This window comes from Homo sapiens, chromosome 17 (assembly GCF_000001405.40).
Source record: "Homo sapiens chromosome 17, GRCh38.p14 Primary Assembly".
Lineage (NCBI taxonomy): Eukaryota > Metazoa > Chordata > Mammalia > Primates > Hominidae > Homo > Homo sapiens.
Genome location: NC_000017.11, coordinates 32,140,833 through 32,157,267, shown reverse-complemented (window position 1 = coordinate 32,157,267; position 16,435 = coordinate 32,140,833). Strand labels below are relative to the sequence as shown.

Below are 16,435 nucleotides of genomic sequence, written 5' to 3'. Positions count from 1 at the left end.
ATAGCTTGGTGGTTAGGAGCACAAATTTGAAACTCAGGAATGCGGATGATTACTTTGGAGGAAAAGAGAGGACAATGTAATGGGAAGGGAGCTTCAAATGATTGGTAATACTTTATTTCTTAAGCTGGGTGTTGAGTATTTGTCATATTATTCTTTATTACCTTTTACATAAATATTTAATCAAAAAAGAAAAGAAGAAAAAACAACACAGGCTTTGGAACTACACAGAATTGGGCTGAAATCTTAGTTCCAGCACTTACTAGCTGTGCTTCTTCAGGCAAGTCATCAAGGCTGCTTATTCATCTATAAAATACTGGCCAGCCTCATAGAATTGTTAAGAGGATTAATCAAGATGAGAGCTATATAATGCTTAGCACAACACCTGTCACACATTAAGTACACAAATGGTAAATGTCATGACAATGATCAGTTTGAATTAAAGGTGTTAAAATGAGCACTGGCCTGGGCCAGAAAATCTGGATTCAGGAACCGGCTTTTGCCATTAACAGTATGACCCTGAGTTACAACTCTCTCTGGGCCTCAATTTTTCTCACCAGTTAAATCAGTTAAAAAAAGAAAAGGTGGGGATAGGTGGACTAGATGTTATCTAAATGCTTACGGCATATGCTTAAACTTCCATGGAGCACACCTAGAAAACAGGTCTGTAACATGAGAAAAAGTGCACATTAACATTAAGGGCTGGGCATGGCAGCTCATGCCCATAATCCCAGCACTTTGGGAGGCTGAGGTGAGGGGATCACTTGAGCCCAGGAGTTCAAAACGAGCCTGGGCAACACAGTGAGACCCCGCCTCTACCAAAAATAATTTTAAAAATTAGCCAGGCATGGTGGCGTGTGCTTGTAGTCCCAGCTACTTGAGAGGCTGAGGTGGGAGGATCATCTGAGCCCAGGAGGTTGAGGCTGCAGTGAGCCATGATCACACCACTGCACGCCAAGCTGGTCCAGGATGGGTGACACAGCGAGACCCTGTCTCAAAACACACATTCACACACCACTACGTAAGATATAGTACCCTAGAAATGGCAGAGAGATCTGCAAACTGTATGTTTTAACTGTGTGTGGGAAAGTGATTTGGCAGAAACATTCATCTAGCTACAAGAACAAAGTAGAACTCACCAAGCCAATGTTGGGTCCCGGAATTTTCAGATCTTGCCAACTTACATGCAACATTTCATAACCCTTTTTCCTTAAATAACTACATTTATCATGCCCTTGCTTAAGGTTCCAGCAATCCCAAACCTTCAGCTAGCTCAAGGTAGTATTCCTGTCAACATTCATAGTAGTACATCCTGATTCCAGATGATTATGCACCATGGAAGCAAAACACAGATGCTCCTTCACTTATGATAGGATTTCTTCCCCATAAACCCATCATAAGTTGAAAATATAAGTTAAAAATATACTTAGACCAGATGCAGTGGCTCATGTCTGTAATCCCAGCAGTTTGGGAGGCTGAGGTGGGAGAATCACTTGAGCCCAAGAGTTCAAGATCAGCCTGGACAACAAAGTGAGACCCTATGTCTACAGAAAATAAAAAATTAGCCAGGCATGGTGGCACACACCCATAGTCTCAGGTAATCGGGAGGCTAAGGTGGGAGGATCCCTGGAGCCTGGGAAGTCGAAGCTGCAGTGAGCCATGATTGAGCCACTGCACTCCAGCTTGGGCAACAGAGTGAGACCTTGTCTCAAAAAATTTTTTGAAATGTGTTAGGATCCTCCCTGGCAACCAAAACTTAAAAAAAAAAAAAAAAAGAAAGAAAGAAAGAAAAAGAAAAGAAAATGCATTTAGGCTGGGCGCAGTGGCTCAAACCTGTAATCCCAGCACTTTGGGAGGCCAAGGCTGGCAGATCACAGGGTCAGGAGATCGAGACCATCCTGGTTAACATGGTGAAACCCTGTCTCTACTAAAAATACAAAAAAATTAGCCAGGCGTGGTGGTGGGCACCTGTAGTCACAGCTACACGGGAGGCTGAGGCAGGAGAATGGCGTGAACCCAGGAGGCGGAGCTTGCAGTGAGCCGAGATCGCGCCACTGCACTCCATCCAGCCTGGGCGACAGAGCGAGACTCCATCTCAAAAAAAAAGAGAATGCATTTAATGCTAACAACACAGAAAGACAGTCCCTGACTTACCATAGTTCTGTTTTTCTTTTTCTTTTCTTTTTTGAGACAGGATCTTGTTCTGTTGTCCAGGCTGCAGTGCAGTGGTGCAATCACAGCTCACTGCAACCTCAACTTCCTGGCCCCAGGTGATCCTCCTGCCTCAGCCTCTCAAGTAGGTGGGACCACAGGCACACACCACTCCGTCACTCAGCTAATTACCACTCCATCACTCAGCTAATTTTTTTTTTTTTTTTAGATGGATCCTTGCTCTGTTGCCCAAGCTGGAGTGCATGGCACGATCACGGCTCACTGCAACCTCCGCCTCCTGGGTTCAAGCAATTATCCTTCCTCATCCTCCCGAGTAGCTGGGATTACAGGCATGTGCCACCATGCCCGGCTAATTTTTTTGTATTTTTAGTAAAGACATGGTTTCACCATGTTGGCCAGGCTGGCCTCGAACTCCTGACCTCAAGTGATCCACCCACCTCAGCCTCCCAAAGTGCCAGGTTTACAAGCATGAGCCACTGCACCCGGTCAATTTTTTTTTTTTTTTTTTTTTTGAGATGGAGCCTTGCTCTGTCGCCCAGGCTGGAGTGCAGTGGCGCCGTCTCTGCTCACCGTAAGCTCTGCCTCCCAGGGTCACACCATTCTCCTGCCTCAGCCTCCCGAGTAGCTGGGACTACAGGCGCCTGCCACCACACCTGGCTAATTTTTTTGTATTTTTTTTTTTAGTAGAGACGGAGTTTCACTGTGTTAGCCAGGATGGTCTTGATCTCCTGACCTCGTGATCTGCCCACCTCAGCCTCCCAAAGTGCTGGGATTACAGGCGTGAGCCACTGCGCCTGGCCTTTTTTTTTTTTTAATTTCTCGTAGAGACGGGGTCTCCCTATGTTGTCCAGGCTGGCCTCAAACCCCTGGGCTCAAGTGAGTCTCTTGCCTTGGCCTCTCAAGTGCTGGGGTTACAGGCATGAGCCATTGTGCCTGGCCCCTTTTCTCTTTTTTTTTTTTTAGAGACAAAGTCTCACTATGTTGCCCAGATTGCTCTTGAACTTCTGGGCTCAAGCAATCCTCCCACCTTGGCCTCCCAAAGTTCTGGGACTAAAGGTATGAGCCACCACGCCTGTCCCCTGATTTTTCAACTTTACAATTGGTTTATATGAATAATACACAGCAGACAGAGCTCTCTGTGGATCACAGACAGAATGCCTCTGTTATGAAGTCCCATCAAGTCCACCAAGCCCTGTACTTTATGTAATTTATTTTAGCAGTAGTATAACTCCCAGGTACTCAAAACAGCAAGGCCTTTTAAAGGATACAATGCCTATATAATTTCTAAGACCTCTGAACTTCTGCACCTGACTATTCCCAGTAGAGATGTCTGCTTTTCCTGGAGTGTCTCCATAATCACAACTACCACCAGCATGGATATTTCCAGGAACTTTTCCATTTCTAAAGAGCTATCCTGGATATTTTACACTTTTCTTTTTTGAGACAGGGTCTCACTCTTTTGCCCAGGCAAGAGTACAGTGGCATGATCATAGCTCACTGCAGCTTTGAACTCCTGGCTCAAGTGATCCTCTCGCCTCAGCTTCCCAAGTAGCTGAGACTACAGGTGCATGCCACCTTACCCAGCTAATTTTAAAAATTGTTTGTACAGATAGGTTCTCATTATGTTCCCCAGACTGGTCTCAAACTTCTAGCCTCAAGCTATCCTCCTGCATTGGCCTCCCAAAGTGCTGGCATTATAGGCATGAGCCACAGAGCCCAGCTACCTGGATATTTCAAATATCTCCATATTCTCATCCTTCATCTACTATACTAAGGATGGCAAAAATGAAGCTGACATTCAATAACTCAGTCCCACTCTAGGTCCATAAGAAATGTGCCTACCTTAATATGCTTAAGACCCTGATTCTTCTCATAATCCCCTTTTCAGAATTATCTTTTTAAAATTTTGCTCTTGTTCCACCACTCTAAGGCCCTCATCAGTTTCAGAAAGAAAAAAAAACCTACCTTTTAGTCCACAATTCAAAAAATGTTAAACAGGCCAAGTGAGGCGGCTCACGCCTGTAATCTCAGCACTTTGGGAGGCTGAGGCAGGCACATCACTTGAGCCCAGGAGTTCTAGACCAGCCTGGACAACATGGTGAAACTCTATCTCTACAAAAAATTTAAAAATTAGCCAGGCATGGCGATGCATGCCTATATGCAGGTATTCGGAAGGTTGAGATGGGAGAATCACCTGAGCCCAGGAAGTCGAAGCTACAGTGAGCCATGATCACGCCACTACATTCCAGCCTGGACAACCGAGTGAGGCCCTGTCTCAAAAAGAAAAAAAAAAAAAGATAAATAATGTGATCAAAATTAAGCCAATCCCCAACACTGAAAGGCTACTGGTTTCCAAGAAAGCACTTGTTCCTTAATCCCAATCACATAGGATCTCTTAGCAAAATTCAGGCTTTCAAGAGATGTTTTGTTCCCCTTGAAGTTCCCTCCCTCACCATGGCCCTTAAAACTCATCCATTCTTCCTCATCTCTCTCTCTCTTTTTTTTTTCAGAGCAGAAGTGGAAGTTTATTTTAAAAGGCTTTATAAGAGGAAACAAATGAAAAATTTACTTGCTAGAGACCCAAGTGGGTGTCTGAAGGTCCAAGAGAGAAAAGACCTTCATCTCTCTTCTTAAAACTCATTAGAACAAACTTTTTCCCAGTCACAGTCTCCTTCTGCTTTTCCCATGGACTCCCTATGTCTGCAATGATATTTTCAGAACAGACAACCAACATTATGAGGAACTTCAGATTTCTTCACAGCTCTGCTCATTAGTCTGAAGGTCAGTTCTGGCTGCCTGTGTAGCAGCAGGCTCCCGCCAAAGTACACCAGGTCTATTCCAGCAGGGCAGGCCTCAGAGATAGGAAAGAAAACACTCTGGCAGGAGAGAAGGTGTCGTAAAGACAACAATAATCAAGTAGCTTTACTCACGCTTGAACATACAGACACACAACACAGTGGTAACAAAGAGTGGGGGCAATTCTGTTTAAGTTATTTGTATCAGTCACTATCTTTTAAAGTGTGATTTTAAAAAATTTATTCATATCCTGCCTTATCTGGAAAAGAATTTGAGGTAATTTAGCACTCACTACATTATAAAAAATACCATCTAGTTTGTGAAGTAATTGTACAATAAAAGATCTTCTAAAAATCAAAGAACGTGAATCTCTTCCACATTAAAATCCAAGAGTGATTTCCTTTTTTTTTTTTTTTTTTTTGAGACGGAGTCTCGCTCTGTCGCCCAGGCTGGAGTGCAATGGTGCAATCTCAGCTCATTGCAACCTCCGCCTCCCGGGTTCAAGCAATTCTCCTGCCTCAGCCTCCAATGTAGCTGGGATTACAGGCGCCCACCACCATGCCCGGCTAATTTTTTGTATTTTTAGTAGGTATGGGGTTTCACTATGTTGGCCAGGCTGGTCTTGAACTCCTGACCTCGTGATCTGCCCACCTCGGCCTCCCAAAGTGCTGGAATTACAGGCGTGAGCCACTGCTCCGGGCCATGATTTCCTTTTTTTAAAAAGTTCATTGAGAGAGAGACACACCGCGCAGGACTGAAAATGGTCTAAGGGGATTCATGACAGATTTCAGAAACCATGATGAACAGAATGGCCCCAGAGAATCCCTAGCTAGACTCTTTCATCAACAGGAATGATTCCAACATGAAGGTGATACCACCACAGGATCCAGCTAGTCCCAGTTTCACTCTGTCATCCAAACTGGAGTGCAGTGGTGCAGTCTTGGCTCACTGCAGCCTCAACCTCCCAGGTTCAAGTGATCCTCCCACCTTAGCCTCCCAAGTATCTGGGACTACAGCAATATGGAGAAGGCATCAAGAATGTACTTCATTCACCCGCCAACAGTATAAAGAACTAGAAGCTCTGTTTAGCCAGACCATGTTCCCAGACAGAAATCTTCAGGAGAAACTAGCTTTGAAACTCAACCTACCAGAGTCAACAGTAAAGAACCCAGTGTCATGGTAAATTGGAGAGGATGTGAGATGATAACCTGGCTGTTTTCACTCAGGAGAAGCCTGGAATGCCTTCTCCAAGAACAGACCACAATCTCCCCTCTTCCCCCACTCCCAGGTTTGGTTTAGGAACCGGCGATTCAAATTGAAGCAGCAGCAGCAGCAGCAGCAGCAATCAGCAAAGCAACCAAACCAGATACCTTCCATCCAAGAAGAATGTGCCCACCTCCCCCAGAACATCCCCCAGTGCTTATGCTTTTTCTCCCGTGGTTTCAGATTTCTACAGCTCCCTTCCACCTCAGCTCTTAGACCCTTCCAATTGGGCATGGAACTCTACCTTCACTGAGAGTCCCACAAGTGACTTCCAAATGCAAGATACTCAGTGGGAGAGGCTGGTGGCCTCAGTTCCTGCTTTGTACTCTGATGCCTATGACATATCCCAAATCATAGAACTGTATAATCTTCCTGATGAGAATGAGATATCCAGCTCTTCTTTCCACTGTCTGTATCAGTATCTCTCACTCACAAAGTACCAGGTAGGAGGACAGGGTTCCTCTCTCAGCACCTTTGCTGGTCTAGCTGTAGGCCTATCTCCCACACAAACCTGGCCCAGTATGATAAGGCAAGGCTTTAAAGACTACAGTCTAACAGACAGCCTGGAATTCCAGAAAACCTCCAATATGGTAGACTTTGGATTTCTCTGACTAGAGTACTAATAAATATGGACCATTTAGAAAAGAGGTCTTCTTGCATCTTACACATGAAAAAAAAAAAAAGTTCATTAGCAGCAAAAGTTCAAAATTGGAAAGGGACAGATTACAGTGAATTTATGGAAAAAAAATAGCACATCTTCATCAGTATCATTTTTGTGTTTCCTTTTGGAAGAGCAGTGAAATAACAGCTACTTTAATAAAGGATCAGACAAATGTGACTTAGTCAAAAAATCCTTCAGTAAATCTAAACTAGGGCTTTTTGTTCTCCTTAGGGCCTCCCTACCTAACCCTATGTGAGACTATCAAAGGAATAATAAAGCAGCAAGTGTAAAAGCCACTTTTAAGCTATTTTTAAAAAATTAATATTTTGGCCAGGGGCAGTGGCTCACACCTGTAATACCAGCACTTTGGGAGGCTGAGGCACGTGGATCAATTGAGGCCAGGAATTCAAGACCAGCTTGGCCAACATGGCAAAACCCATCTCTACTAAAAAAATACAAAGAATTAGCCAGGCATGATGGCACATGCCTATAATCCCAGCTACTATGGAGGCTGAGGCAAGAGAATCACTTGAACTCAGGAGGCGGAGGTTACAGTGAGCCGAGATCATGCCACTGCACTCCAGCCTGGGCAACAGAGTGAGACTCTCTTCTCTCTATATATATATGTGTGTGTGTGTGTGTATATATATGTGTATATATATGTGTATGTGTGTATATATATGTGTGTGAGTGTATGTATGTATGCATGTGTGTATACACACACACACACACACACACACACATATATATATATATATATATATATATATATATATATATATATATAGAACTGCTGGGCTCAAGTGATTCACCCGCCTCGGCCTCCCAAAGTGCTGAGATTACAGGCATGAGCCACCACACCCAGACTATGCTAAAGATAATGAAACATTTTAGAATATTAAATTCTAAAAACTATTTAAATATGCTTACAATCAAAAAGGTATCTTAATAATGGCAAATATGATATAAACACTATATATTTTTAACTGCTTCAGAAAATAAAGATTGTTTATGAGGAAACAAAAATCCCAAGCTCTTCTTAAATTACACTAATTAAACTTCATATTTACTATAAAAGTTATAGGACAAATGCATATAAAACATTGTATTTTATAATAAAACTTATAACAAATAATTACAAATAAAATTTATAATAAAATGTATAAAATGTAATATAAATACATTTGATACAAACATTTAGTATGTTATTAATATGGAGGACAAAAAACTTATCCTTCATTAGCCAACCGACTAATGGTCTCTATTTCTTCTATTTTGCCTGAGAAATATTGAAGTAATCTATAAAAACTAAAAGCAAGACCACAATTATCCACAAGGACAGAAGGCCTTCTGATCCAGTTCAATAGAATATGCCACAGTTCTGAGACTCCATGCTTCTAAGCAGGTCATCCATGGAAAACATAATTCATCACTATAGAACAAATTATCCAGATTTATCCAGGCTACAAATGTGTCTTTTCATCACATCTTTTGAACATCTAGTTCCAAATGACAGCAAATTCCTAATATTCATGAAGCAGAAATAACATTCTCTGGTTCCAATTACCAATCTACCAGCCATACTGGCTATTTTTCTTGATAACAAACACCCCCTGCTTCAAGTGGCAAAGAGAACTACTCCTCATTTTTATGTTTCTTTAGTAAGAAGCGTTGTTGGCTCTTCCTAAGTTATTGAAATTAGAATACACTAGGGGGAGGAAGGTAACTATGGAGTTATATTTTTAACTGGAAAACTTTAGCATTTGGCGAAATAGCTAAACACTGTTCCAAAGGACAATTTCATTGCCCACATGCAGATGATGTGGCCTGCAGAACAAAAGCTATCGCTCAGCTATCCTTCTCCTTCAAACGAGATCAACACTAGTAACCAACTGGTGCAGCAATAAAGGACAGCAGAGAATAGGTTTCAGTACATATGTGAGGATGTTATAGAAAGGACTCTGTACGAACAGAATAGACTCTTTATGCAGAATGGACTCTATGGCCAGGGATGTTTGAACTTTGACTTTCTCTGCATTTAAAGACAGCTTAACTTCTTTTATCTAAGCACTAAATACTTATTAAGGAATTTTCTTTTTCTTTTTTGTTTTTTGAGATGGGAGTCTCACTCTGTCACCCAGGCTGGGGTGCAGTGGCATGATTTCGGCTCACTGCAAACTCCGCCTCCCGGATTCATGCCATTCTTCTGGCTCGGCCTCCCGAGTAACTGGGACTACAGGCACCTGCCACCACGCCTGGCTAATTTTTTGTATTTTTAGTAGAGACGAGGTTTCACCGTGTTAGCCAGGATGGTCTCGATCTCCTGACCTTGTGATCCGCCCGCCTCAGCCTCCCAAAGTGCTGGGATTACAGGCGTGAGCCACTGCGCCCCACCCTTATTAAGCAATTTTCATTAAAGCCTACACGCATCAGAAGTGGGCCCAGAAAAGATGCAGTTCACCTCAATGGGTGTTTGAACATCCCTGGCCATAGAATATTACCCAGGTAGTAAACACAGTGTAATTGAAACTGGAGCAGTTTAATCTTTTTTTTTTTTTTTGAAATGGAGTCTCACTCTATCGCCCAGGCTGGAGTGCAGTGCGCAATCTCCGCTCACTGCACCCTCCGCCTCCTGGGTTCAAGTGATTCTCCTGCCTCAGCCTCCTGAGTAGCTGGGATTACAGTCACACGCCACCATGCCCAGCTAAATTTTGTATGTTTAGTAGGGACAGGGTTTCACCATGTCAGTCAGGCTGGTGTCGAACTCTTGACCTTTGAGCCACCCACCTTGGCCTCCCAAAGTGTGGGATTACAGGTGTGAGCCACCGCGCCCGGCCAGTTTAATCTTTAAATATCATTCCAACAAAGACCAGAATGGAAAGCAATATGGCTTTTTTTTTTAATAGTTAAAAAAAAGTAGAGGCAGGGTCTCACTATGTTGCCCAGGCCAATCTCAAACTCCTGGGGTCAAGCAAGTCTCCCGCCTTAACCTCTCAAGTGCTGGGATTAGCAATATGGTTTTAAAATGATCTTAGGCCAGGCATAGTGGTGCATGACTGTGATCCCAGCACTTCAGGAGGCCAAGGTGGGTGGATCATTTGAGGTCAGGAGTTCAAAACCAGCCTGGCCAACATGGTGAAACCCTGTCTCTACTAAAAATACAAAAATTAGCCAGGCGTGGTGGTATGCGCCTGTAATCCCAGTTACTTGGGAGGCTGAGGCAGGAGAATCGCTTGAACCTGAGAGGCTGATGCTGTAACGAGCCGAGATTGTGCCACTGCACTGCAGCCTGGGTGACAGGGTGAGACTCTGCCTCAAAAAAATAAAAAAAGAGCAGGCCAGGCATGGTGGTTCACACCTATAATCCCAGTATTTGGGAGGCCGAGGTGGGTGGATCACTTGAGGTCAGCAGTTCCAGACCAGCCTGGCCAACACAGTGAAACCCTCTCTACTAAAAAAAAAAAAAAAAAAAAAAAAAATTTACAAAAATTAGCCAGACATGGTGGTGCATGCCTGTCATCCCAGCTACTTGGGAGGCTGAGGTTACAGTGAGCCAAGATGGCACCACTGTACTCCAGCCTGGGCGACAGAGCAAGACCCTGTCTCAAAAAAATAATAATAGGCCGGGCGCGGTGGCTCACTCCTGTAATCCCAGCACTTTGGGAGGCCGAGGAAGGCAGATCATGAAGTCAGGAGATCGAGACCATCCTGCCTAACATGGTGAAACCCCATCTCTACTAAAAATACAAAAAAAAAAAAAAAAAAATTAGCCGGGCGTGGTGGTGGGCACCTGTAGTCCCAGCTACTCGGGAGACTGAGGCAGGAGACTGGCCTGAACCTGGGAGGTGGAGCTTGCAGTGAGCCGAGATCGCGCCACTGCACTCCAGCCTGGGCGACAAAGCGAGACTCCATCTCAAAAAAAATAAAATAAAAATAATAATAATAATAATACAGAAAAATGATCAAATTTTTATGACAAAGAGGAGTGGTTTGGAAAACAAGGAAAGTCTAAACAAACTGAACTAGCTTGAACTCATTCATTCTTTTAAGAAATACCTGAGTGCCTCTTTTGTGCCAGGTCTGTTCTAGCCACTGGGGATACAGCAAGAAGGAAGACAAATCCCCTGCCTTCATGATGATTCTTTTCTAGCCCAAGAGACAGGACAAAAAATGTACAAATATACATGGTTATGGGGATAATGCCCAGGTCAGAGCCTTCTTATAGAGAGAGCAATGAAGGAGAGAGTAGCATAAAAGGGAAGTAAGGGCTAGATTGTGGAGGGCCTTACAGGACTGCATTAAAAAGTTTGGACTTTATTCTAAGTGAAAGTAGAAATCACTGGATGATATACATCTATTTTCTGAGACAGATTCTCACCCTGTCAACCAGGCTGGAGTGCAGGGGTGCAGTCATGACCCACAGCAGCCCCGAACTCCTGGGCTCAGGTGATTCTCCCACCTCAGCCTCTCAAGTAGCTGGAACTGCAGGTGCACGCCACTTCACCCAGCTAATTTTTTGTATTTTTTGTAGAGATGAGGGTTCGTCATGTTGCCCAGGCTGGTCTCGAACTCCTGACCTCAAGTGATCCACCTGCCTCGGCCTCCCAAAGTGCTGAGATAATAGGCATGAGCCACCACACCTGGCTCATTAGATGATTTTTAAGGTGCATAGCAGAATCTGAGATATTTTCTAAATATGAATCTGTATATATTCAGGACAGCTTGAATCTATACTTCAGGGTAAAAAAATTAAAAATAAAAAAATAAAAATGAATCTGCCTGCTCCACGGAAAATGGAGGAAAGCAGGAGCAGAAAGACTGGTTAAGGGAGATATTGCAAAAGTCAAGGCCAAAGCCAGTGGAATTTTGAAGTAGTTTGGCAGAGGTTGCCATGATAATCAGAGTTAGACAAACCAGTTAAAGATCTGCCAGATTCATTTTAAAAGAAGATAACAGTTCCATTTTCTTAAGGAACTTAACTAGTAGAAAACAAATATATCTCAATTTAATTTAAAAAGAAGACTCCATTAAAATGAAAACTATCCTGTTTACTATTATCAATATATATATATATTTTTTGAGACAGAGTCTCACTCTGTCCCCCAGGTTGGAATGCAGTGGTGTGATCTCAGCTCACTGCGACCTCCATCTCCTGGGTGAAAGCCATTCTCCTGCCTTAGCCTCCTGAGTAGCTGGGATTACAGGTGCGTGCTGCCACAGCTGACTAATTATTGTATTGTTAGTAGAGACTGGGTTTCGTCATGTTGGTCAGTTTCCTGGTCTCAAACTCCTGACCTCAGGTGATCTGCCCACTTTGGCCTCCCAAAGTGTTGGGGTTACAGGCATGAGCTACTGTGCCCAGCCATTAAAAATTAATTTTTTCTTTAAGAGACAGTCTTGCTCTGTCACCTGGGCTGAAGTGCAGTGGTGTGATCATGGCTCACTGCAACCTCGATTTTCTGGGTTCAAGCAATTCTCTCATCTCAGCCTCCCCAGTAGCTAGGACTACAGGTGCACACCACCATGCCTAGCTAATAGTGTTGTGGTTTTTTTTTTTTGAGGCGGGGTCTCACTATGTTGCCCAGGCTGGTCTCAAACTCCTGCGTTCAAGCAATCCTCCTGCCTCAGCCTCCCAAAGTGCTGGGATTACAGGAGTGAGCCACTGTGCCCAGCCATTAATATTTAAATTTTTTGTAGAGACAGGATCTCACTACATTGCCCAGGTTGGTCTCAAACTCCTTGGCCTCAAGTGATCCTCCTGCCTCAGCCTCCCAGAGTGCTTGGAATACAGGTATAAGCCACCTCACCCAGCTGTGTGGGAGCATTATTAAAGGTTTTTTTTCAGACAGAGTCTTGCTCTGCTGCCCAGGCTGGCATGTCTCAGCTCACTGCAACCTCCTCCTCCAGGGTTCAAGTGATTCTCCTGCTTCAGCCTCCAGAGTAGCTGGGACTACAGGTGTGTGCCACCACACCCGGCTAATTTTCGTATTTTTAGTAGAGACGGGGTTTCACCATGTTGGCCAGGCTCGTCTCGAACTCCTGACCTCAAGTGATCTGCCTGCCTTGGCCTCCCAAAGTGCTGGGATTACAGGCATGAGCCACAGTGCCTGTAATCCCAGGCACTGCACTCCAGCCTCGGTGACAGAGCGAGACTCTGTCTCAAAACAACAACAACAACAAACTATTTCATCATATATTTAAGGATCAGTTTTTTAAGCAAGTCGTCTACTCACTTTCCCTACCTTGCTCCAAAAGCATAAGCATGAATTATATGTTAAATAACACCTTCCTGAACCTTGTCAAGGAAGTCCATGAAAAATACAGATTAAGATATAGTTATAAATAAAAATAAAAATTTACAACTGCAAATCAAAAAGTAAACTATGGCTGGCTAAGCTTACTCCTAAATTCTAATTCTAAAGGAAGATTTCTCCAAACAGCAGGTGGATGAAATTTCAATGAACTCAAAGAACACTACAGAAGAGGGTAAAAACGTGTTAACTTTCTTCCTTGGGATTCCATCACGGTGACCCTGAGGGGTTACCAAGAATGAAATAATGGTTTAAAACAGAATGCTTCGAAACAGCAATGGCAGACTATTAACGAATGTATTAACTCTTTAAAACAAACAATCCAGTTATCCCTGGCCCACTTTCTTATTTTAGTCCTAGCAACTGAGTTACATAACTTGCAGAGTGAAATCAAGAAGTCCCCGCTGTTGCGTCCTCATGTCAGTGAACAGAGGGAACTCTCCTTTATTATATTTTCAAAAGGTGAAATGTATGAAATTTCTGGGTGGGGGGAGATATCAAATGTCTGTGTGCCTGTGGTTATTAATAAGTTAACTACGAAGTAACTATGGAATAAATAATGCTTAAAAAGAGGGCAAAGATTACGCTTTAGGGTAACAACAATTGGACCCTCCCCAGATAATTCTAATTCATTGAGCGCTTGCATAACTCGAAGTTGAGTAAAAATTTTTGATGAAATATCTCGAGTACGAGGAGTTAGTCCAATGCAAAGTACAAGTACTGCTAAAAAGGATCCGGCCCTTTCCACTACTCATATCTTAATGTCAATACATAGAGAGAGTGAAGACTGCGAGTGCCAAAAAAATGCAGAAACCTGACCTTGCCCACAAGTCGAATAGTTCTGCACCCCTCCCCCAGCTTCCCCGGGAGCCGGTTCACGCAATCCCTATTGGTCAGTCTGCTTATTCCAGCACCTGCCTGGCAGTGATAAGGGAATCTCCAGAAGACAAGAAGGTCTGAAAGGAGGCGGCCTGGGAAACTGTGAGGCCCAGAAGGACAGGGTTCGAAGAGGAAAAGGAGGAGAGAAGCTTCGGAGGGATGAGGTCGGGCGGTTAGGGCTAATAGGGACATGGCTTGGGAGGACGGCTGGGGAACAGGGAAAGGAGATCTCTGGAGGGCCCAGGTGAGGTGACAGGGTGAGGGCCGCCGGCGGCCAGCCAAAAGAGAAGAGTGAAGGGGCTGGAAGGCCTAGGAACGCGGAGAAAGGCGAGCGGAGCTGTGAGGCGCGAGAAGGGCCGGGGCTGCAAAGGTTGGGGCTGCAGGGGCGACAGGGGCGACAGGGGCTGCAGGGGCAGGGAGGGCAGGGACTCAGGGGCCGGCCAGAGGGTGCGGACTCACGTTCTCCCACCAGCAGGATCCGCACGTCTTTCTTCATGTCGGCGGCTCTCGGGGGCCGGCCTCCGCCCGCACGCACGGAGTGGACTCCTCTCACCAGGAGCACCCACCCCACGGCGCCACCTGCCAGCCTCTTCGGCCGCCGGGGCCCGCCGCGCCGCCCCCTCAGTTGCTTCCCCGCAAGAGAGCCGGGACAGCGCCAGCTCCGCCTCCTCCGGCCCAGCGGGCTGTGGCGGCGGCGGCGGCGGCGGCGGCGGCGGCGGCGGCGGCGGCGGCGGCGGGGACGACGGCACGCGGCGAGGGACACGCGCTTTCGGAACGCGAACGCGCTCTGCGCCGGAACAGCGCTCCCGCTGTCAGGCCGCCGCAGCGCAGGCCCAGGGAGCCTCGCCCACCCTCCTTTGGGCACCGCGACCCCGGAGACACTTGGGCCAGGAATTTGAATGGCGGATTCCCTGGTTTAACCCCGTTTATTTTATAGATAGGGACAGAAATTCCCTGTTCAAAGTCACATAGCTAGAGCTTGGCAGTGACTCAGAGCAGGGATCTTCTCACCAGACCATAAACTCCGGGAGGGCAGCGATCAGCTTGCATGGTTTTCAGCTGCGTCCCCACGTTATTGGATAGGGCCGTCAGAAAATGCTTGATCGAGTAGGGCGACTGGCTCCCAGGATCCGGCGCTTTCCACTCCCCAAAGCCCGTCACCCTAGTTGCTTTTGCCTCTGATGCTTATAAAATACGATTATAAGATTCGTTTTTACGCTGTGTGAACAAGACTCCTTTCTTTATAACCAAACTAAGTGACTTTTTTTCTGTCTATGTAGTTTATTTTATGGCAGGGTTTTCGGACACTCTTCTTTACTCAGGCTTACCCAGCGTAATGCTAGACACGGAGGTGGCACTCGATAATAAACTCTAGATGATTTTTCTAACATTGCCTTAATTTTCTCGTGACCCTCTCCATCTGGAGGAATTTGTTGTTACATGCTTAATGTTTGGTACACAATGGCAAATATATATATATACATACGCGTGCGAATATATATCACATCCCTAATACTTGGCACACAGTGGGAAATATAAAATACATAAATTAATGAGGAAGCACTATCTGTGCATAATGTACATTTTTTCTATCTTAAATATTACACAATAAACACTTAAAGGGAATGAAATGTGCGTAATACCAACTTCCCTTTCTCCTAGGAGAAGTCATGTGGTCTCTTGCAGCAGTTAAGAGTTGCTGGCAAATTTCCTGGGTTTGAATCTAGGCTCCACATAATAGCTCTGTGATCTCGACTAAGTGCTTTTATTTTTACTTCCCTCAGCCACTGTTCCTTCTTCTGTAGCATGGAAATAATGATGATAATACCTTCCTCTTGAGATGGTTGTGAGTAATAAATACTATAATACTTGTCAAGCATTTGGTACAGTGCCAGACTCAGAGCGTGTGCTCTACTGATCTCAGCTATCATTATTATATTAAAAAGTCACTAAAAAGTTGTAATCCACAGATTTTTTGTTTTGTTTTGGTTTTGTTTTGAGACGGAGTCTCGCTCTGTCGCCCAGGCTGGAGTGCAGTGGCGCAATCTCGGCTCACTGCAAGCTCCGCCTCCTGGGTTCACGCCATTCTCCTGCCTCAGCCTCCCGAGTAGCTGGGACTACAGGCGTCCGCCACCACGCCCGGCTAATTTTTTTTTTTTTTTTTTTGTATTTTTAGTGGAGACGGGGTTTCACCGTGTTAGCCAGGATGGTCTCGATCTCCTGACGTCGTGATCCGCCTGCCTTGGCCTCCCAAAGTGCTGGGATTACAGGCGTGAGCCACCGCGCCCAGCCTAATCCACAGGTTTTGAGGCAAATATGTTGTTGTGTTTACTGCAGAATTTCACCATCTTAGTTA

General features: G+C 44.8%; 1 protein-coding gene, 1 long non-coding RNA gene and 1 pseudogene across 19 annotated transcripts in view, besides 4 other annotated features; 2 read left to right on the top strand and 1 right to left on the bottom strand.

The window, feature by feature from the left end:
* The window catches only part of RHOT1 (ras homolog family member T1), an 83,226-nt gene extending 68,460 nt beyond the window's left edge, over positions 1 to 14,766 (bottom strand). For 12 of the 17 annotated variants that reach the window (NR_110083.2, NM_001288758.2, NM_001033567.3 and 9 more), the window contains exon 1: positions 14,539 to 14,766. Coding sequence is in view for 12 of the 17 variants with exons in the window: in NM_001033568.3 (NP_001028740.1) it covers positions 14,539 to 14,575 (37 nt within the window). In the remaining 5 variants the exon portion in view is untranslated. Of the gene's footprint in view, positions 1 to 4,363; positions 4,434 to 10,945; positions 14,136 to 14,538 lie in introns of those variants that run through there. The other 5 variants (XM_047436353.1, XM_047436355.1, XM_047436359.1 and 2 more) reach the window with 5 other exon arrangements.
* Positions 524 to 1,067: a silencer, noted in NCBI's record as "fragment chr17:30483220-30483763 (GRCh37/hg19 assembly coordinates)". NCBI's record gives its function as "represses an EF-1alpha promoter that drives an FKBP-Casp9 reporter gene in an ReSE screen in HepG2 liver carcinoma cells {active_cell/tissue: HepG2}" and the evidence as "EXISTENCE:reporter gene assay evidence [ECO:0000049][PMID:32094911]".
* ARGFXP2 (arginine-fifty homeobox pseudogene 2) lies at positions 5,697 to 6,911 on the top strand (annotated as a pseudogene). Its single transcript, NR_002222.1, has one exon. The product of NR_002222.1 is annotated as an arginine-fifty homeobox pseudogene 2 (transcript).
* LOC105371730 (uncharacterized) lies at positions 14,133 to 16,042 on the top strand. Its single transcript, NR_136413.1, has 2 exons — positions 14,133 to 14,243; positions 14,555 to 16,042. It is a non-coding gene; the product is annotated as an uncharacterized LOC105371730 (long non-coding RNA).
* Positions 14,486 to 14,545: a silencer, noted in NCBI's record as "silent region_8419". NCBI's record gives its function as "represses an Ori minimal core promoter by ATAC-STARR-seq in GM12878 lymphoblastoid cells {active_cell/tissue: GM12878}" and the evidence as "EXISTENCE:reporter gene assay evidence [ECO:0000049][PMID:35858748]".
* Positions 14,576 to 14,805: a silencer, noted in NCBI's record as "silent region_8418". NCBI's record gives its function as "represses an Ori minimal core promoter by ATAC-STARR-seq in GM12878 lymphoblastoid cells {active_cell/tissue: GM12878}" and the evidence as "EXISTENCE:reporter gene assay evidence [ECO:0000049][PMID:35858748]".
* Positions 15,266 to 15,435: an enhancer, noted in NCBI's record as "active region_12026". NCBI's record gives its function as "activates an Ori minimal core promoter by ATAC-STARR-seq in GM12878 lymphoblastoid cells {active_cell/tissue: GM12878}" and the evidence as "EXISTENCE:reporter gene assay evidence [ECO:0000049][PMID:35858748]".
* Positions 16,043 to 16,435: the final 393 nt, after the last annotated feature.